The 21872-nt window shown below is 38.3% G+C and overlaps 1 protein-coding gene across 4 annotated transcripts in view, besides 1 other annotated feature; it reads left to right on the forward strand.

The window, feature by feature from the left end:
- Positions 1–13009, forward strand: part of TAF4B (TATA-box binding protein associated factor 4b) — a 165241-nt gene extending 152232 nt beyond the window's left edge. For 3 of the 4 annotated variants that reach the window (NR_121653.2, NM_001293725.2, NM_005640.3), the window contains one exon: positions 11169–13009. Coding sequence is in view for 3 of the 4 variants with exons in the window: in NM_001293725.2 (NP_001280654.1) it covers positions 11169–11336 (168 nt within the window). In the remaining variant the exon portion in view is untranslated. Of the gene's footprint in view, positions 1–9434; positions 9494–11168 lie in introns of all 4 variants that reach the window. The other variant, XM_024451239.2, reaches the window with a different exon arrangement.
- Positions 14416–14609: a silencer, noted in NCBI's record as "fragment chr18:23973056-23973249 (GRCh37/hg19 assembly coordinates)". NCBI's record gives its function as "represses an EF-1alpha promoter that drives an FKBP-Casp9 reporter gene in an ReSE screen in K562 erythroleukemia cells {active_cell/tissue: K562}" and the evidence as "EXISTENCE:reporter gene assay evidence [ECO:0000049][PMID:32094911]".

The raw sequence follows: 21872 nt of genomic DNA on the forward strand, positions 1-21872 counted from the left end.
GATCCCCAGAAAGTTCTATTATGCCTTTTACCACCTGCAACCCCCTCTGCAATTACTGATCTAATTTCTGTTACCATAGCTTAATCTTTCCTGTTTCAGAACTTTGTAGAATTGGGAACCATATGATAATGTAGTCTTGTTTCTGAATTATTTCACTCATAATGTTTTTGAGATTTATTCACATTATGCATATCAGTAGTACATTCTTTTTAGTGCTGAGTTGTCTTCTGTTGTGTAAATACTCCATAATTTGTTTATTCAGTGTTACTGGACTGTTTTCAATATTTGGCTAGTATGGATAAAGGTGCTTTATCCATATAAAGCTACATTCTTGTAAAAGTCATTTTGTGGCCTATGTTTTCATTCCTCTTTGCTAAATACTTAGGAGTACTACTGTTGGATCATAGGTGTATATTTAATCTTAAGAGACTCTAAACTGTTTTTCAGATGGTTGTACCATTTCATACTCCCTTTAGCAATGTACTTTTATTTTCATAGTGGTGACTTTTGGAGGAGCAGAAGGTTTTAATTTTGACGAAGTCCAATTTATCATTGTCTTCTTTTATAATTAGTACTTGCTGTATCCTAAAAAAACCTTTGTGTACCCCATGTTGTGAAGATTTACCCTGTGTTTTCCTAGAAGCTTTATAGTTTTAACTTTTATGTTATAGGTCTTTGATCTATCTTGATTTAGTATTTGTGTCTGCTGTGAAGTGGGGGTTGAAAGTTTATTTTTTCACATACAGGTATCCTGTTACTCTACCCCATTTATTAGAGAAGGCTTTCCCCATTGCATCACCTTATAGCTTATGTTGAAAACCAATTAACTATATATGTGGACATATCTATACACATACTCTATTCTGTTTGTTTATTTTTCTCTATTTATGCCATACTACAATCTCTCTTGATTACTGTAACAGTTTAGAAATCAGATAGTGTGAGTGTTCCAGCTTTGTCCTTTTTTAAAACAAGGTTATTTTTGGCTATTCTGTGTCCTTTGTATCTTCATATGAATTTTTAGAATCATCTTGTCATTCTTACAAAAATGTCTAGGTATTCTTTATTAGGATGGCATTGAATCTATAGATCAATTTGCAGAGAATTTACATCTTAGCAATACTGAGGCTTCTAATATTGTTCCATTTACTTCTGTCATCTTTATCTCAATGTTTTAGTTTTCCATGTACAAGTCTTTGACATCTTTTATCCATTTATACATAGGTATATTTTTTTGATGCTATTGAAAGTAGTATTTTAAAATTATATACTTTCCAATTGTTTGTTGCTAACATATCAAAGTAAAGTTGATTTTGACATAGATCTTGTATCCTCCATTCTGCTAAATTCACTTAATTGTTCTAGAGGTTTTTTGGAATAAATGTCTTAGGATTTGCTAAGCAAATCATGCTGGCCACAAATAAAAATAAGAGTACTTCTTCCTTTCCAATCTTTATGCTTTTTATTTTCTTTTCTTGCCTTAGAGCACTGGCTAACTTCCCCATTACTATGTTTAATAGAAGTGGTGAGAGCAGACATCCATGCCTTATTCCTGATCTTAGAGGGAAATTGCCTGTAATTAACCTTACACATTTCTTTTCTACATTTAAAGCTATACAATTCCATTTGTTTTCTACTTTAGCCTCAACCCTACAAATTTAGATATGTTGTGTTTTTATTATCAACTTTGAAGATATTTCCTAACTTCCATCCTGGTATCTTTTTTGACCTACAGATTATTTAGAAGTATGTTGTTTAATTTCCAAATGTTTGGTGTTTTCATTGTGGTCAGAGAACATAGCCTGATTTTAGTCCTTTAAGTTTACTATGACTTGGGCTTGCATGGTTTGTCTTGATGAATACTGAATGTCTTTCTCGTGAATTGCCTCCTTCTGTCCTTGCGAATTGATCTTCCTTTCTAGTAATATTCCTTGTCTTGAAGTCTGCTTTGTTTTTTTAAAAGTTTTATTTTAGTGCTTTGCCTGATACTATTATAGCCATGTCAGCTTTCTCACCCTTAGTATTTACATAGTTCATCTTTTTTCCTTTGGTTTACTTCCACCTTATCTGTGTCTTTGTTTAAAGCAGGTCTCTTATAAATAACATATAATTGAGTTTTGATTTTTTTTTTTTACCAGAATGAGAATTCACTTGGAGTGTTTGGTTCAATAGTTAATGTAAATACTGCTATGACTGGATTTAAGTCCATCATCTTGCTGTTCATTTTTAATTTTCCCAGTTTTTTTCTCCTTTTCTGCCATCTTTTGAGTTAATCAAGCACTATTTTAGTATTCTATGCTACGTTGTCTGTTTCCTTTTTAGTTAATAGTCTTATTTATATACCTACTTATCTTTTGAGACAGAGTCTTGCCCTGTCGCCCAGGCTGGAGTGCAGTGGCACAATCATTGCTCATTACAGCCTCGACCTCCCAGGTTCAAGCGATCCTCCCACCTCAGCCTCTGGAATAACTGGGACCACAGGCACACACCACCACGCCTGGCTAATTTTAGCATTTTTAGTAGAGGTAGGGTTTCACCATGTTTCCCAGGCTGGTCTTGAACTCCTGGGCTCAAGGGACCTGCCTGCCTCGGCCTCCCAAAGTGCTGGGGTAACAGGCGTGAGCCACTGTGTCTGGCCCTTTTATTTTTTTTAATGGTTGCTGTGACTCTGTTCAGAGGTACAATGTGCATCCTTAACTGACTACACTTGGCTTTGAATTAATACCACTTCACACAAAATGGAAGAGTCTTTTAAAACCAAGTAATTTGGCTGGGCGCGGTAGCTCACGCCTGTAATCCCAGCACTTTGGGAGGCCAAGGCAGGCGGATCACCTGAGGTCAGGAGTTCGAGACCAGCCTGACCAACATGGAGAAACCCCATCTCTACTAAAACTACAAAAGTTAGCCGGGCTTGGTGGCAGGTGCTTGTAATCCCAGCTACTCGAGAGGCTGAGACAGGGGAATCGCTTGAACCTGGGAGGCAGAGGTTGCGGTGAGCCGAGATTGCGCCATTGCACTCCAGCCTGGGCAATGAGCGAAACTCCGCCTCTAAATAAATAAATAAATAAATAAATAAATAAATAAATAAATAAATCCAAACCAAATAGTTAATTATACACACCCTTCCATCCTTTGTGCTATTGTTGTCACCTACTTTACTGCTACATATGTTCTAACCTCCCTGATATGTTATTATTAATGGTCATATATCTTTTAAAGAATTTATGAAAATAAAAATGGTTTTTTTATGTTTCCAATTTCTAATGGTTTCTCTTTTTTTCTATAAATTCATATTTCATTCGAGTTATTTTTCTATCAGCCTGTATGCAACTCACCAACTCTAGAATTACTAGAGTTTTAAACAAAGCTACTGTTAATACATTTAAAGATATTGATAAATTCACCTTTAGTTTTGAGGCACAGCAACCCTTATTATATTATAGCTCTTACTTATATTCACAGTTCTCCAAGGAAAAATCAAAGCTAATTCTTAAAGAAAAATGTTTAGCAGTCCTTTGAATAAATTTTAAGAAAATAATAGGTAAAACCGATCTCTGGACATAGTTTATGTGAGTTTTCAGAGGTCTTTGCAAGTGTCTTAGTAAAAGTTTAAAGAAAATAACCATAGTGTAAGTAGGAAAGTCTTGACATGAGGTTGTCAGCTTGGCCATAGGAAATAATCAATTTACTGCCTTTCAGAATTCACTGTTTATTTGGCTTTTTGCTGTTCTTGTGTGTCGAATTCCTTGGTGGGCTGAAGCACTTTCTTAATGTTTGGAGAAAATGGCAGAAAATAGTCTTTTGAACAAATTCCATCTAGTAGCAGTTTGGTGGGGATGAGTAGGTGAGGTAAGATGTTAGAGGGCTGGGTAATAGTTGTGAATAAACCATCAAAGGACTTTACATACCCCACCTTTCACCCCAGATTGGTTTGGCTTAAAGCTGACAATGACAGCAGGATCTTGAATTAGAAGGTCCAAAGCTCATAGGGTGGTTTATTTTCACTGTTTATTCATATAAGTGATGTTATTGGGTGACTCCAAACACATGGTTCTCCTACAGATGATATCACCTAAATGCCAAACACTGTAAAGTATTCACAGGTACAAAATCTTTTTATTCTAGTAAGTGATAAGTTAAAGAGAAAATTACATTGCACTGAAGACGTATGATGGTAGAGGGAAATAAAAAGTACTACTAAAGTGCATAGGAGTTGCACCTAGGCTAGACCTGGGGTAAGTTTGTGTTTGTAGGCACTGGGGACACTTGATATCCTAGCTGAATCCAAAAGAACTTAGATGATGTGGCAATAAGGATAGGATCAGTGGAGTTCAGTGAAGAGAGAATGCTATGTGCAATTAATTGTCTGTATCAAAAAGGAAAAATATTTTGTTCATAATCAATAGTTTGAGACAAGAAGAAAGGAATGAGAGATGAGACTAGGGAGAGAAACTTTGGTGTGGTCATGGATGGCCATATATGTCATGCTTAGATGTTTAGACTTGGTTCTTATAGGAAAATCTTAGCCACTGGAGCATTTCAAGCAAGAAAACAATTTTGTCAGATTATTTTTGAAAGATCCTTCTCACTGCAGTGTAAGCAATATTAACACTGGAAATAGGGAGGTTTTTTAGAAGGCTGTTGAAGTAATCTAGGCAGAAGATAATGGAAGTGAAAATGTAAAAGTAGATGGCTTAGAAACTATTAAGGGGGTAGAATAGATAAGTGGCAGATGGACTATAGAGAAAGATTTGAGGATGACATCCAATTTTCTGGCTTAGGCATTCCTTGAAATGAAGAGGAGGAAGGGAAGGAATGATAGTTTGAAACATGTAGAATTTGGGATACTTATAATACATTCAATTGGAAATCATTAAGAAATTGAACAGTGGCATCTGGAAAATGAGAGAGCGTTCTGTTGGAGATAAAGATGGGGGTGATCATTAGCTATGACAGGCAGTATATTATCTCTATAGCTCTCATAATTACAGAGCTAGAATTGTAACTTGAAGCCAGTGATTCCGTGTCACATCAGTGTTTTCTTCTGTAAAGTACTATTGAAACATAGACATTTAGGAGTGATGAAATGGGGCAGAAGTTAACATGCAGTGTTGTCTGTATTCTGAAATAACTAGAAAGGAATAAAATGAAGGTGATAAAGATGAGAGATCTGTTGCTTCAGAAGTTCTGCTTGTTGACCAGCAGAGGGCAGTGAATTTTGAAGCTCAGTATTTTTCTGTCCTGTGTTCCCCTTTAAGGCCTAGAAGCTTGGGTATTGTGAATATAGATTTTCAGTGTTCTTGTTACACTGGGTCAGGTATCCAGGGCACATTTATTTATTTTTGCTTCTGAGACTTAGAAGATGTTCAGTTTTTTTTCTTTTTTCTGGAGCCAAGTCTTCATTCTACTCCCTATTTCTCACATTTGGACCTTGTTTCCTCCTTAAAGCTGAAAAGACTTGAGCTATCCCTTAAGAGCTGCCATGGTGGCATGAGGTTGGGACTTAGTGTAAATCAGGTAGAATCTGAGAATGTCATGAATCTTTGCCTCTTGATTCCTCTATTAAGAAATTCTCAGTTTTTGTGTTTGGTTAACTGTTCAGATTCAGGGACACAAATTTTGCTTTTATTAGTCGTAGGATTCAGGGAATTGAATGAAAGAGATTGACTTTTAGTTTCTAGAGACAATATTGAAAAGCTTAGTTGATTCTGTACAGCAGCAGGCTCCTCCACTATTTAATTTGAGGGGTGTAAGAAAAACTTACTGTCCACCCGTCACATGTCTGAAATGGCCATCAGTCTACTTTGGAGCTTTAGGCATTCAAGGCTCCCTTAAAATTCAGAAATTTCACTGAGAGGGACAAGGTAAGTATGGCAGCACAAATGATTTCTCTTGAGTTCAGTAACCAGTGATTTAGTGAAGACTTGAGATAATAGGACCTAGGTAGGAAAAGTTTAACTAGTTTTAACTACGGGATGGGAAAAAAGGTCTGGAGCTAGAATTACACTGTTTCCTGTTTGTAAACCTTCAGTGCCTTCCTACTGACTAGGGAATTCATTATGAGAATAGGGCCAACATTTAGAGAGCGTATGCCATTGTCATTTAATCTTCAAACCAGCCATTTGAGATAATTAGTGTTACTATCCCTATTTTGCAGATTCGGAAACTGAGGCACAGAGAAATTAAGTAATTTGAGATTGCCTATGGAGGAGACAACGAGTGTTTGCCACCATTCAGTTCTGTATATCTTATGCCGCCTAGCACAGTTCTTGCCCATAGTAGGTACCCAGTAACCCAGAGAATTTTGAATGGAATCAGAACGTAGACTAGCATGAAGCTACATTACCGTGGATGGTGGCTCTTGGGAGGAGAGGCCCGTATGGAGTCACTGCAAACCCCAACAGGATTCCCGAAGCCACTGGGTTCATAAAGATGTCCTTTCTGCTTCTGACTTAGAGCAGTCATCCAATTTAAGGAAATGTGGAAAAAGAAGTAGAAAAATCTTTAAAGGTTTTATTTCACAACACTGCTGTATTAAGTTGAGGGATAAAAATTGGATTACTAGTTATTTTTGGTTATTTAGTATCATTATTAAAATGGTGTTATTTATCTAAAATTGATAACTGATGATTTTCCATTTTTTCTTGTTAGAGCAATAGAGTTCCTCAGAAGTTTCATTATAAAAACAAGAAACTTAGTTCAGTGGTATAACAAAACAAATTAGGTGAGATAAGTTGTTAGTGGGCTGGGTAACATTAATGAGTAACAATTATGAAGGCTAACATAATTGATCTGGCAATTTTAGAAGATGTTAACATTTAGGTTTGAGTAGGCTTCCTAGGACATCTTTTGTGCACCTGGGAAATGAATTGGTCGTTTCATCTTTCATTTTCATCCAGGTGAAGAATCCAGATTAAGGAATATCCTCATGTAGAAAGTTACATGGGAAAACCTTCTATTTCCGAAGTGAACAGTACACTAACAGTGAGAAGAATAAACAGCGTTTTTTTTTTTTTTTCTTCTTCTTCTTCTTCTTCTTGCAAACTCTGGGCCCTTAACCACATTAGTATTCTTTGTGATTTCTAATGTGACCAGAAATCAGTCCTAGTCAACTCTGGGGAAAGGACTTGGTGAGGCAGAGGAAAATTAAAACTGATGGTGAAAAAGCAGGTTTGGTTTTTATGGCTGTAAGTTACCTGTGCACTCTCTACCCCCTTGACTGTGGATAACTGAGAGTAGCTGGTTATTCTGGCCAGGTCATTGTGATTGACAAGTTACAGTTGTGGACTTTGCCAAATCAAAGCTCAGGAATAAAAATGCTATATATTTTGTATTCAGATTCAAGAAAGATTGACTTTCTAAGTTAGCTGCTATTTGGGGGAAGAGAATGCTATCACCTTCATAAAGTTGTGAATTATGAAAGACATTTCTGTTGGGTTACTGAATGTCCCTTGGGGTTTTTTTCATTTATAACATTGCCTCAGGCTCTCTGCTGCATCCTGTTGGAATGACCTTCTTTTCAACTCTGTGCTGGCAGCTGTAATATGGCTCTTTCCCCTGAATCCTTCAGGCTTGTCACATGACAAACATGAACTGTGACCCCTTTGTTCCTTACTCAGATGATTAGGTCTCTTTATTTTTTTTTTCTGTTTGACAATTTTGCCTTATTGTCTTTCCTTTCCCCCCTCTCTTTGCTTCCATGTTAATTTCCTCCTGAGGCAAGGTTTTTGGGGTAGCAATTTAATTTTTTTTATTGAAATATAGCATCAATATAGAAAGTACACAAGTCATAAGCTCACCACAGTTTTCACAGCATGAACACATTCATGTAGGCAGTAGTTAGATCAAGAAGGAAACATCACCAGAACTCCAGAAAACTTCAGTCTCTTTCTAATCACTTCTCATCTCCCCCATGGGAACTCACTCTCCTGACTTTTTTTTAGCTTTGCCTGTTCTGGGACTTGGTAGAAATTGAATCATACAGTATGAATTCCTTTGTGTCTGGTTCCTTTCATTGAACATTTTTGTGATACTCTTTCATGTTACCCAGTCGTTATTGCTGTGTATTATTCCATGGTATGACTATTCCACAATTTATTGTACTCTTAATGTACTCACTCGGATTGTTTCTAGCTTAGGGCTCTTGTGAATAGTAGTCATCCTTATACATATCTTTTGATGAACCCATGGCATATTTCTGGGTGTTTACATAGATGTGGAATTGCCAAGACATTGTGTCTGTCTAGCCAGTTATTTTAAAATCTCATATAAAACACCAAAGTACTGATTTTAGGAAAACTCTTAGAAGATTTATAAACATATAGATACAGTTTTAGCATAATGTATCTAATTTATGGCTAAAGAAATTGCCTCTAGTTAAATGTATTGTAGTTGTTTTTTGTTTTTTAAGACAGAGTCTCACTCTGTCACCCAGGCTGGAGTGCAGTGGCATGATCTTGGCTCACTTCAACCTCTGCCTCCCAAGTTCAAGCAGTTCTTCCACCTCAGTCTCCCGAGTAAGTGAGCTTACAGACGCACACCACCATGCCTGGCTCATTTTTATTTATTTTTTGTTAGAGGTGGGGTTTCACCATGTTAGCCAGGCTGGTCTCGAACTCCTGACCTCAAGCGATTTGCTTGCCTTGGCCTAAATATGTTGTAGTTTTAAATGGGTTACTCCTGTAAACAACAAAATTTCCACTCACTGCCAATTACATGTTTTAGTAACTTTCTTCCTAATATGTACTTTTTATTCAATTTTCCAAACAAAACTGAGCTTTTGGTCCCATTCCGCAAAAATCTTATGAAGATATTTTGATGGTAATAATTTACAATAGTTAAAGTTACATCTGAGTTACACCATCTCTGAGTGTTGATGCTAGCAGAGTGGCATGCTAGTGCTTCACTGCCAGGCTTAGCTGAAGTACCAGAGGCTTACACTTGTACAAATTGCATTCATTACCAAGAACCCTGCAGAAGTGGCGAGAGACTGGCTCTATACTGTAGATGGGCTCTGGGATAAGTAGCCGAACAATTGGGCAGCTGAGACCAATTTTTTTCCCTCTTTTAGAACGTGGACTTTCCAAAATTGTTTCCATGGATACTTATGAACAAGTTTAACTTAATGAGTATAAAAATATGACTGCGACATCATGTCCCTCAAAAACTGGGTAGTATCTCTTAAAGAAGTTTTATTTGTCCGTCAGATAAAGTACCCCTAAGTCATGCTGTGAACATGCATGGAATTAAGTTTGACTGATTTTGACCATGGTGTTTTGGAGACCTTAAGAGATTTCCTTCCCCTCCATCAGAACAAGAAACCCAAAAAGGTGGAAGGAGTAATTAAAATTTAATTGTTATAAAAGGACAGTAACAGAACCAGATTTTCTTCCTATGTTATCTTTCCTTATGTATGTCTTTCGGGTGGATAAAAGAGAGTTGCCAGTCCTATCGAGACGTTTTGTGAAACAAAGGATTTTGTTTTGAAACAAAGGTAAAAAGAATTAAAGGATTTCATTTTTACAAAATTATCTTTTGAGAGTTCTGTGTTTTTCTTTTCTTCCAATTAAAAGTAATAGTATATAGACATATTGGTAATTCATATTGGTAAACATATTCAGAAAACTGTCTTAATTACAGGAGTGTTGTGTTTTCATCATTTTAAAATGACATTTAGAATTCATGTTGTTCTGTTTTAAACCAGTACATTCAGTTTAGAAAATATTGCGGATAACCTGTGTTGTTCTGTGAACTCTGCTAAGCTCTAGAGGAGACAGAAACCATAGTCCTTGTCCTCAGAAAGCTTATGGTCTAGTGGGTATGTAGTGGTGGCGGGAGCATATACAAATTACTATAGTACAACGTAAGGTAATTGCCACAGTGAGATTTCCTTGGATGAAGGACAGGTAGACCCATTTGAAATGGGTCTTAAAAGATGAGTAGATTGGCCTAGAATGGCCTCTTTGCTAATCTCTGCCTATTGGCAGAGGAGCCATGTGGCTGCAGTTAAGATGTCTTGTAAAGGAGCAATGGGAAGTGAGGTTAGAGCGAAGGAAGCCAGAGTGATGGGTTTATACGTGATATGGTGGATAATATAGCACAGTGGTTAAGAGTGCTTACTTTATTTTTATTTTTATTTTTATTATTTTCATTTTTTTGAGACAGAGTCTTGCTCTGTTGCCCAGGCAGGAATGCAGTGGCGCGATCTCAGCTCACTGCAACCTCCGCCTCCTGGGTTCAATTCTCCTGCCTTAGCCTCCCTGGTAGCTGGGATTACAGGCATGCGCCACCACACCCAGCTAATTTTTTTATTTTTAGTAGAGACGGGGTTTCACCATGTTGGCCAGGCTGGTCTCAAACTCCTGACCTCAGGTGATCCACCCACCTCGGCCTCCCAAAGTGCTGGGATTACAGACGTGAGCTACTGTGCCCAACCAGAGCTTACTTTAGGTCAAATTAGAAACTGAGTCACAGCTCAACTTTGCTGTGTGACCTTGAACAGATTGCTTAACCTATCTAAGCTCAGTTTCCTCATTTGATAAATGGGGACAGCGCTTATATAACTGGCTGCAATTTTGTATGATAGAAAAGAGATAATATATGAAAAGTGCTCAGCGTGGTTCTCAAGAACCTGCTCTGAGCAATGGGAACCATTGAAGATTTTGGAACCATGGCCTGGTGGGATCTGAACCGTGAAAGGCCTTCATTGTTATTTTTTATTATTGACATACAAAAGACTGCATACATTTAAAGTCTACATTTGATAGATTTTTATGTATGCATACAGCTTTGAAATCATCACCACAATCAAAGTGATAAACAAGTCTTTCACTCTCAAAAGATTTGTGTAAGACCTTTAAAGAGGGAAAGTCTGGCCTGCAATGCACTGGAAAGAATGGAGCAAAGTAGAGCCTGGAAATGGAGAAACCAGTTCAGAGGCTATTGCCATGCTGCAGGTGAGCAGGAAAGAATGAATGAGGTCAGGTGATAGGTTTAATGGCCATTTGAGATTGGCTGCTGGAGGACAGGGTTAGGTCTTCATCATTACATTATCTCCAGTACCTAACCCAGTGACCAGAGGGTAGTGGGCTCTGACATGCTAGAATTGACAGGCTTTCCCTTTATGAAAGATTTTTATTTCAAATTGCTTTTCCTTTTATTATTTTTAGGGCTTAAAAGACAACCTTCTTGCTTCTGGGACATCCAGCCTGACAGCCACCAAACAGTTGCATCGTCCAAGAATCACGAGAATCTGCCTCAGGGACTTGATATTTTGTATGGAACAGGAACGGGAGATGAAGTATTCTCGAGCTCTATACCTGGCCCTTCTGAAGTGACCACTCCACTCTTCCATCCAGATCCTTGCTATTTACTGCCAAAGAAGACACAAAGCATTGTTGCACTGTCCTGAAATTTCAATTTCTGGAAAATAATCACCAACATGAAAGAGCATTGTTTACAGTTAGAAACTTTATTAACTCTTACCTATCCATCTCATGGGACTCTTACAGACTCAGATTCATCTTTGTCTTCTGAAAATCAGTTATGAAATACACTTTGCACAGAATTAGGCATCTGCCTATCTGTGCATTAAATTAAAGCAAGTTAAGGCCCTATTTGTTACTACCTGCCTCATTTGCCAAATTGTAGCAGGTGAGGTGTCCTTCCCTAATACAGCATGCATTGAGATGCAGGAGAAAGGAAGAGGCATAAGAAAATACAAGAATGACTATTTCATTCTATATTGAACCTGTCCCAAAGTGGTAGGTTTTCTGGGCTGGAATCAGAAGTTGCTTAGCTAACTATGACAGTCACCCTCTGTACGTGACAGGCCACTGTGGTGACTTTGGTCGGCTGAGTTCCAGTGTTGTCAAAACAAGACAAATGGGGATAGATTGTGCCTGGGGTTGCTAATTCTCTGCTTCATATCACCATATGCCGTTTCTGGTACCAAGTGAGGGGACATGCTTGTCAGGGAAACCTTAAAATTGAATCTACTGATATATCTTGTTGAAAAAATGGAAAAGGTGCAAAGTATTAGAAGGAACGTTAGGGCGTTGCTTTCAAACTGATGAGGGGAATGTGAAAATGGTATCATAAAACAGGAAATGTGCTTCATATGCCCAAGAGGGGAAGAGGTGGAATCGGAACTCCAAAACAACTGGTACATGTTTTGTTGATGGGCAAAAAAAATCACAGCACAACCAGAAAGGAGAATGTACCAGATGTTTTCAAATTAGAGTATTTCAAAAGGAAAATGTTATTTTTTGTTTTGTATTGTTTTAAATCCCAAGGATAGTTTTTATAGTTCCTTCTGTCATAATATATTTTAGTTATCCTAATTTTTAAGCATGTTGGCACATTTAAAAAATCCTAATTGATGATGAGAAATTTTTAACAATAGGACTTTATGTTGGATTCTGTACTTAAAAGGTACTGTCAATATCTCACTCTTGGGGATATGAGCTCTAAATATGAGAAGCAAGTTATATGTGTTCACCTGAGGAAGAAGCTGACGGACAAAGCAAACCCTCTTTAAAAAAAAAAAAAAGAAAATTCCACGTGTGTGGAATACAGCCGGTGAAAAATAATCACTGTAGTTAGAATCACATACAGAAAAAAAATGATTGAATCCTCCAAGAAGGTATTTCAAAAATGGGAAATGCTATACTTATAAGAATTGAAGGAAAAAAAAAAAAACACCTCACGTATGTTATTCTTCATCCTGTTCTTCCCATTGGGACTGTTATGGCCATATTCTACAGTATAGTAAATTTTAAATTGGCCACATTTTTTTTTGTTTCAGCAAGTTATGTAAAATGCTATAAATTATGTGTATGTTAAAGGAGTACTTTAAGAAGAGATCTTTATCCAAAGTTGTTTTTGTATATTTAAATGCTTACCTTTATTTTTTGTAAAGTGCAGCATACTCATTTGTGTATAATCTTACTGATCAGATGTTTAAAATTATTCCAAATACTTCATTAAAATAATTATTTTATTATAAGAATAACTTTGCTCATTCACTGACTTTGAAAACCATTGTCCTTAGTAGTTAGCCCCTGATGTGCTCAAATTGCTGGGCTGTGAATTTTTCCTAGCTCGGATTGTGAATTACTTTGGAGTATGGGCATTTTGGTTCCAGAAAGTCACTTCAGATCCAAGTTGTTGTATCACTTTCTTTGAAATAGTTGTAAATTTGCATGCTATTTGATTCACAAAGAAAGCTAGGCATACTCATTACAAAAGCTTTTCTTGCCTATCAGGGTTTTTTAACTGAGGTATTTTTCAAAATTTATTTTTAATATTCATTTTTAAACTTTGTCTTGTGAAATATATCTTACACAAGAAAGAAAAAATAATGTATCCAAGGTATTCTTCTGTGCAGCTTGCAAAATGGTGGGCTTGGAGTAGATTTGATCTACAAATGCATTCTCCTTGACTCACACGGTATTGCCAATGTTTTAATTCATGAGAATCTATATTTCCATTTCTTTTGAGAAATTAGAAGATCTGGAATCCCTAGCTATATCCTTTTGTATGGCAACAATCCACCAGAGCTAACCAGCAGCTGTCTACTTGAGATACACAGGCATAAGTTTACCTTCCCTTGCCTGATTCATTTAGGCATTGGAGTTCATGACCCTCTGCCTTCAATATTTATTTTGCAGCTGGGCCTCACACCTGTAATCCCCAGCACTTAGGGAGGCCGAGGTGGGAGGATTGCTTGAGGCCAGGTTGAGACAACCTGGGCAACATAGCAAGGCCCACCTCTACAAAAAATGAAAGAATTAGCTGGGTGTGGTGATGTGCACCTGTAGTCCCAGCAACTCAGGAGGGTGAGGCAGGAGAATTGCTTGAGCCCAGGAGATTGAAGCTGCAGTGAGCTATGATCACACCACTGCACTCCAGCCTGGACGACAGAGCAAGACCCCATCTCAAAACAAAATGTGGCCTGGCACGGTGGCTCACACCTGTAATCCCACCACTTTGGTAGGCTGAGGTGGGTGGATCACGAAGTCAGCAGTTCAAAACTAACCTGGTCAACATGGCAAAACCCCGTCTCTACTAAAAATATAAAAATTAGCCAGGTGGGGTGTCAGGCACCTGTAATCCCATCTACTTGGGAGGCTGAGGCAGGAGAATCATTTGAACTCGGGAGGCCGAGGTTGCAGTGAGCCGAGATCATGCCATTGCACTCCAGCCTGGGTGACAAGAGTGAGACTCCATCTCAAAAAAAATTGTGTGTGTGTGTGTGTGTGTATGTTTATATACACACATATACATATATTTATCTTGGGTGATGAACAGTTAAAAAGTACCAGAAATTCTCCATCTGTTTACTTTTTTAAAGAAACTCTACTGAGGTGTATTTTACATTAAAAAAACTACCCATTTCATCTATTTACTTTGATTTGTTTCTATATTTTAGATATAGGGTCTTACTCTTTAGATCCAGGGTCTCACTCTGTCACCCAAAGCTGGAGTGCAGTTGTGTGATGATGGCTCACTGTAACCTTGAACTCTTGGGCTCAGGCGGTCCTCCCACCTCAGCCTCCCAAGTAGGTGGAACTACTGATGAGTACCACCTTGCCCAGCTAATTTTGTAATTTTTTGTAGAGATGGGTCATTGCTGTGTTGCACAGGCTGGTATTGAACTCCTGGGCTCAAGTGATTCTCCTGCCTCAGCCTCCCAAAGTGCTAAGATTACAGGTGTAACCACCATGCCCAAACCCATTTACTTTTTTTTCTTTCTTTTTTTTTTTTTTTTTTTTTTTTTTTTTTTTTTTTTTTTTTTTTTTTTTTTTTTGAGACGGAGTCTTGCTCTGTTGCCCAGGCTAGAGTGCAGTGGTGCGATTTTGGCTCACTGCAACCTCTGCCTCCTGGGTTCAAGCGATTCTCCTGCCTCAGCCTCCCAAGTAGCTGGGATTACAGGGTTGTGTCACCACACCCGTCTAATTTTATATTTTTAGTAGAGGCGGGGTTTCACCACATTGGTCAGGCTGGCCTCGAACTCCTGACCCCAAGTGATCCACCCACCTTTGCCTCCCAAAGTGCTGGGATTACAGGCGTGAGCCACCGTGCCCAGCCCCCATTTACTTTAAATATGACTGAACGATCTTTTAAATGGTCTCCTGCTGAACATCTTTGATTCTTCTCTTTAAAATAAAAAAGTAAAGTTTAATATTTCTTAAGACCTGCATTTGAGGTAAATTTTGTAAGAATTTTGGAAAAACTTTATTTAGAATTAAGAATGTTTATATTAGTTAGTCGTGGTTACAGCAGAGAACACAAGTAGTGTTAAGGCATATTCTTTAGAAAAATATGGAACCAAGTTCTCAAGCTGATTAAGTTGGACTTTATCTGTTTGCCTAGTTGTACTGTCAACCAACTGTTTATAAAACTTTCCTCAGCAAGACTCAGTGATTGTGCAGAGATAAAACTATAATGTGTCACATGTTTATACACGACCTAGTAGTCGGTTTTTATTTTGTTGTTAACATTTATATCTTTTTAAACACTTTCATATGACTCTCTGAACTATTTTTTTACATGTGGACATGATTTATAGCTGATATCAGCATCTTTTTCTGACTTTTTAATACTGCTTAGTATTTTCATATGCATTTCAGCTGTATCACATTGGTGCATTTGCTTTTTTGCCAAAATTGTTTCACCAGTTGGAAGTTGGTCTTCAGTAGATATTTTTGTTATTTTTCTTCCAGTAAACAATTGAGAGACTGTGCTGTACCAAACAAGAAACCGAAAGTGTTGATCATCATACAGCTGAACACTGGCTGGTTAGGTGAGATATAGAAATATAAAGTAATAGAGTATATTACTATACACTGTATATAGTTATAGAAAATAATACAGATATATAAAGTAGAAGCATCACAGCCTATGTAGACCTTGCCACGTTGAATATTTGTAGGAAGAAAATATTCCCGAGGAACTCATCTAAAGACTTTTGGCTTTGTTGGTAAACCACAATGAGAGCAATTTTAATGGCAACTCTTAAAATAATGTTAGGTTGCCATCTCTCCAAGTTCTTTTACCATGGGTGGTACTAAAGCAGTATTGCTATGGGTGAGAGCACACCCTGGCTTCCCATCTTAGTCCTGCCTCTTTCCAGCGTGTGACCTTGGCAAATTATTTAACTTTGCTGTGCCTTTGTTTTCTTATGTATATATAATAGGAACCACCTGTGAGGTGGTTGGGGGACTTCAATGCATTGTCATATGTAAAGCACTGTTCTAAGTGCTTTATATGTGAGCAGTGCTAGAACATGTAGTGAACAGTATACAGTCCTGCATCACTTAATGACAGAGACCATGGGCATATGTTCTAAGAAAGCATCAGGCAGTTTTGTCATGCAAATATCATAGAGTATACTTAAACCTGGATGGTGTAGCCTACTACACACCTAGGCTATATATGGTGTAGCCTATTTCTCCTAGGTTACAAACCTGTACAGCCTGTTACTGTACTGAATACAGCAATTGTAATACAATGCTATTTGTGTTTCTAAACATACCTAAACATAGACAAGGTACTATGAAAATACAATATTATGTGGCACATGGCTATGTATGTTGGTTATTATTGTTTTACAGATTTTGAATGGCGTAGTTCTACTTCCTGTCTGTCTCTAGTACCTTTTTTTTTTTTTTTTTTTTGAGACAGAGTCTCACTCTGTTGCCCAGGCTGGAGTGCAGTGGCACCATCTTGCCTCACTGCAACTTCCACCTCCCAAGTTCAAGCGATTCTCCTGCCTCAGCCTCCCGAGTAGCTGGGTTTACAGGTATGGACCACCATACCCAGCTAATTTTTGTATTTTTAGTAGAGATGGGGTTTCTCCATGTTGGCCAGGCTGGTCTTGAACTCCTGACCTCAGGTGATCCTCCCGCCTTGGCCTCCCAAAGTGCTGGGATTACAGGCGTGAGCCACCATGCCTGGCCTCCAGTACCATATTATACTGATGAAAGTCACTGGCCGAATGCATGCACCTTAGTGTCTTATTTATAGATAGTCTAAGATCATGTGAGATTGTTATATATTGCATTGAGGATTGGGTAATGGGGAGGCTAGAAGGAGAAAGGTACGATAATACAGTGGAGCCATTTGACAGAATAATTGTTATGTCGGTGGCTTTGCCTAATAAGTTTCCTGTGGAATTGGAAGCAGTGAAGAAACCATGTCATTACTTGAAAACGCTATAGATACATGGTGAACATTCAAACAGTATAAAAAAGCATAGCAAAATAACTATCTTACTCAGACCTTCCCAGGTCCCCTGCTCCCCTCCCTAGATTCACCCACTTTTGCCAATTTCATACATCTTTCCAGCATAGTCAATATATATATAAGTCCATAGTTATATATTCGCCCTTATTTGCATATGACAGCATACTGATCTGTCCTTTGCCATTTTCAAAACCCTGTTATTCTTAATTCAATTTATACTGTGTTCCAGGTCAGGAGTCTTGGTAGAATCTTGCTGTAATCTTTGGGAAAACAACACATGAATGTTTCCTCAAGGGGTTTAGTCACAAGTTCTCTTACTATTTTGTAGATCACAGTGTTTCTTTACCAAAGAGGCATGCATCGTAAGGGGAGTAGAGATTTCCTAAGATGAGGAGGTGCAGAGAGGGAAAGAAGAAAAGTCATTTAAGGGAAGGATTGAGTATTCCAGTTGTAATTATAAAGTTTCTCTGACAGCATCCTCCCACCATGAACCACTAGTATCCTGGAAACCAACCTGAATTTAGGATCGCTCCAACCTCTTTTCTGTAAGATTTATATTTCTGATTAAAAATTAATGAATAGATCAGAATAGGGATGATCTAAATCTGAGATTCCTCGGAGTGATCCCTGATGGGATGCCTGATACCCAAAATACTCTTAAGTCTTGTATTCTAGGGCCTTCTAAGGCAAAAGATTGAGAGACCCAAAAAGAGAAAATATGTTTAGTAAAGAAAATATTTACTTTGACTAGTTATGATGGTCATATAGGGGAGAAAAGGCAAATTTTGGAAATGTAAGATGGGGACAATTAATGTATATACACTGTCCAAATTCAAAAGGTACAAAAGAAGATACAGTAAAGTCCCCCACCTTTGTTGTCTAGGTAAATTGTTCACAGGTTCTCTTTCTAAGAAATTTTAGAAAAGGAGTTAGAGGGTTGCCTGTAAACCTTTCATCTTCCTCAAAGATTTTTCCTTGATTATGAGTGATATATTCTCATTGCAGAAAATTTGGAAAATAAAAATATAAGGAAAATGAAAACACACGTGGCACTGTTAATATTTTGATGCATTTCTTTCTAGCCTTTTTTTCCTGTGCTAACTCTGTGGATGTTTTAGATCACACTGTTGAGCCAGCATTGTGTCTTACTGATGTACTTTTGGAAATGCTGGGGGAAATGAGAAGAAAAACAACTAGGAGAATGAAGCATCGCTTTTTAATTCTGTCCCTCAAAGTGATGTTGAGGCCATGTTTCTCATTTCCTCAAACAGCATATGGATTTGTTTAAGGTGTTTCAATTTGCTGTCGTCATGGGTGAAATGAAAGTACCCATTTAGTCTCGTCATTGCTTGCAGCGTTCTCTACATGTTAAGGTATTGTGGAAGAAAAATTGCCATAACTCTATGCAAATTATTTAGATTCAAAGCTAGTATAGAAATGTAACTTTTGAGGTTTAGGCTATAGGACTGATGACTTTTCATATTTGTGATATTAATGGAGGCTTTGCCTGAGAATGAAGGAAAGGTCAGGACTTGATGGTTGGCTTCTTGACGACATCTTATGGCTGAGGCCTCCAATTCCCTAAATACAAGTGGGAAGTTGTGCTGGGGGTCTCCACAGGTCCTTTAAACTTTCAACTCTCAATAGTTTAATCTCACTGGGTACTTCTCTGCAATCTTAATTCTTATAAAAGTGATACTGGTAGCCTTTAATGCTAAGGGAAGGAAGAAAATTGAACAAATAGTGCTTTGTGTCTTCTGTACTTTCTGCCATTATCAAAAAGTGTGTGTGTGCTGCTGGACCAGACCCAATTAAGGATACAAGCATTGCCATTGACCTATATTGGCTGCATCCGTTTTCTAGGGCTGCTGTAACAAATGACACAAACTGGGTGACTTAAGGCAACAGAAATTTATTCTCACAGTTCTGGAGGCTAGAAGCCCAAATCCAAGGTCGGCAGGGCCGCCCTCACTCTAAAGCTCTAGGGGAGAATCCTTCCTTGCCTCTTCCAGCCTCTGGAAGCTGCTGGTTGTGGGAACAAAATGCCAATGTCTGCGTCTGTGTTCACATAGTCTTCTCTGTGTCTTTCTGTGTCCTCTCCTCCTCTTATAAAAACACCAGTTGGAGGGCCCTCCTCCCTGAGGGCTGTCACTTGGACTACACACAAGTGTATAATCTCATCTTCACATTTAACTAGTTACATTTGCGAAGACACTGTTTCCAAATAAGGTCCCCTTTTGAAGTTCCGGGTCAATGTGAATTTTGGGAGGATACTGTTCACCCCACCAAAGGAGCATATGCCTTATGACTTTATATTCCCGATAGCTCTTCTACTTTCTATCCTTGGCTTTAATAATAGCGAAAATCTTATGGCTAAGATTTGTAGGAGTTGATTTTGTGTCTCATTACACTGGAAACAGAATCTTGAGGTCTGTCAAGAGAGTGGTTTTCACCTTTTTTCACTTCTCTTCCACTTCAGGCAAGGTTGGGAAGTTCCTAGTAGGTGACTGTCCTGAGAAATGTCTTTGGTGTGGTTAACACAGTGTCGTCCTGGTGTTTAGAGTAGTACCGTATAGTCAAGTGAATGTATTCAGAAGACTTGAGATTTCGCATGCTATTTACATGTTAACAGTTCTTAAGGAAATTCTCCACACCATGAGCAAATCATAAATTTATTTCATGTGGAAGTGTTGATTCTAACAGATACCAAGTATTAGAACATTTTAAATATAAATATACCAAGGTTCTATCTCCAAGAACTTCAGGAGACTCTAGTTCTCCTAAAATGAGAACATGCTAATATTTGGAAAATATCAGTTACTGTTCTCTGTCTGCTTCCAAAAGCAGCTAGGGGTCTGGTACCACTAAACCAAACAAGTTAATTTATCTGACACTGGCAGGCTTGCTTTCAGGTGGAGACCTGTGTTATTGGAGAAGGAAAGGAGGGAGCAAAACTCAGAATGACTGGGGAGAGATGCATCACTGAGGAGACTTGGAAATTAGAGAAATATCAAGAGTAGCTTTATTGACTTAACTGCAGATGCCACCATTGGGCATTAGCCTCTGGAGCTGGGAGTTGGTGGCAAGTTGTAAATTGAAGACCACTACAGGCAGTGCAGATTTTTATCAGATTTCTTTTGTGCCTAGAATATTAAACAGATCTTAACTAATTTTTAAAAGAATATGTGTTTTGCCTACTGTAATTTTAAAAAGCCATCCTCTCTCTACTATGTATGAATGTATTGAATAACTAAACCAATAGTTGGCAGGGGTTTGGGGAAAAGGCCCTTAGAAGTTTCCACATACTCTAGGGAGAATCTTGCAGAAAAATCTATCTGATGCAGTATGGAAAGATCCAAAAACAGCAGGCTTGGCCTAAGATGTTAACATAGGAACAATCAGCTACCAGATTCTCACATTTCTTTCATGATCAGTCTCTTCGGTTATCTCTAGGGAGTACTCAGATCTGAGGTTCCCAAGATGAAGTTTTAATTCATCTTTTGGAAAGATGCAGAGGTAGGCATGGAGATAAGGAGAGAAAGATGTCAAACCAAGCAAAAGATAGGGTTTTGTAACCTCTATCTGCTTAAGTCTATTTCAAGTTTACTGAGTGATATTGATTATTAAGATGCAGACTAGGTTACAAAGAATGACGATGCTGATGTGGTCTAGTCTACCACATTTAAGCATAAATCCACTTAGAATCAAGCCACATGTGTGAAGCCCAAGGTTCTTGATATTCCTCAGCATATCTAAAGGTTACCCAGCTCAGCGTTCCATCTACTAAAGGAATTCCCTTCAGCATCCCTGAAACAAGCCTTCTACTTGAATAGTTCTACCTTATCCTAGAATTCACAATTGAACTGTCCTGTTACTCTTTATGTTCTGTCTTGGTTTGATTTTGAAATCTGCCTTCCTACAATTTAATATTTGGGACTTACTTTTTTCTTCCAAAAGCACATAACTAGCAATTTACTGATCCCTATGTATCAGATACTATGTCAAACTAAGCATCTTACCTGCATTATCTAACTTAATCCTCACAACAGCCTTCTGATAGAGAGTGGCAGAGAGGGGCTAGCGGTTCACTGAACTCGTTTTCCCTTGGCTGTGCAGCTAGACCACATTTTTAAGCCTCCTCATAGTTAAATGTGGCCTGGTGCCTGAGGTCCAGCGAATGAGATGTAGGCAGAAGGGATGTGTGACACTTTCAGATATGGCTCATGATAACCTGCCATGCATGAGCTTTTTATTTATGTATTTGAGACAGGGTCTTGCTCTCTCACTCAGGCTGGAATACAGTGACACGATCTTGGCTCACTGCAGCCTTGACTTCCCAGGCTCAAGTGATTCTCCCACCTCAGGCTCCCGAGTCACTGAGACTACAGACACATAGCACCATGTCCAGCTAATTTTTGTATTTTTAGTAGAGACGAGGTTTCGCTATGTTGCCCAGGCTGGTCTCAAACTCTAAGCCCAAGCGATCTTACCCCCTCAGCCTCCCAAAGTGCTGGGATTACAGGCGTGAGCCACTGCGCCTGGGCTCCACACATGATCTTGCATGCTCTTTCCCTTTCATGGTGACCTTGGAAGGTTGGTGATGAAAATGGCAGAGCCACCAGATG

Source organism: Homo sapiens, chromosome 18 (assembly GCF_000001405.40).
Source record: "Homo sapiens chromosome 18, GRCh38.p14 Primary Assembly".
Taxonomy (NCBI): domain Eukaryota; kingdom Metazoa; phylum Chordata; class Mammalia; order Primates; family Hominidae; genus Homo; species Homo sapiens.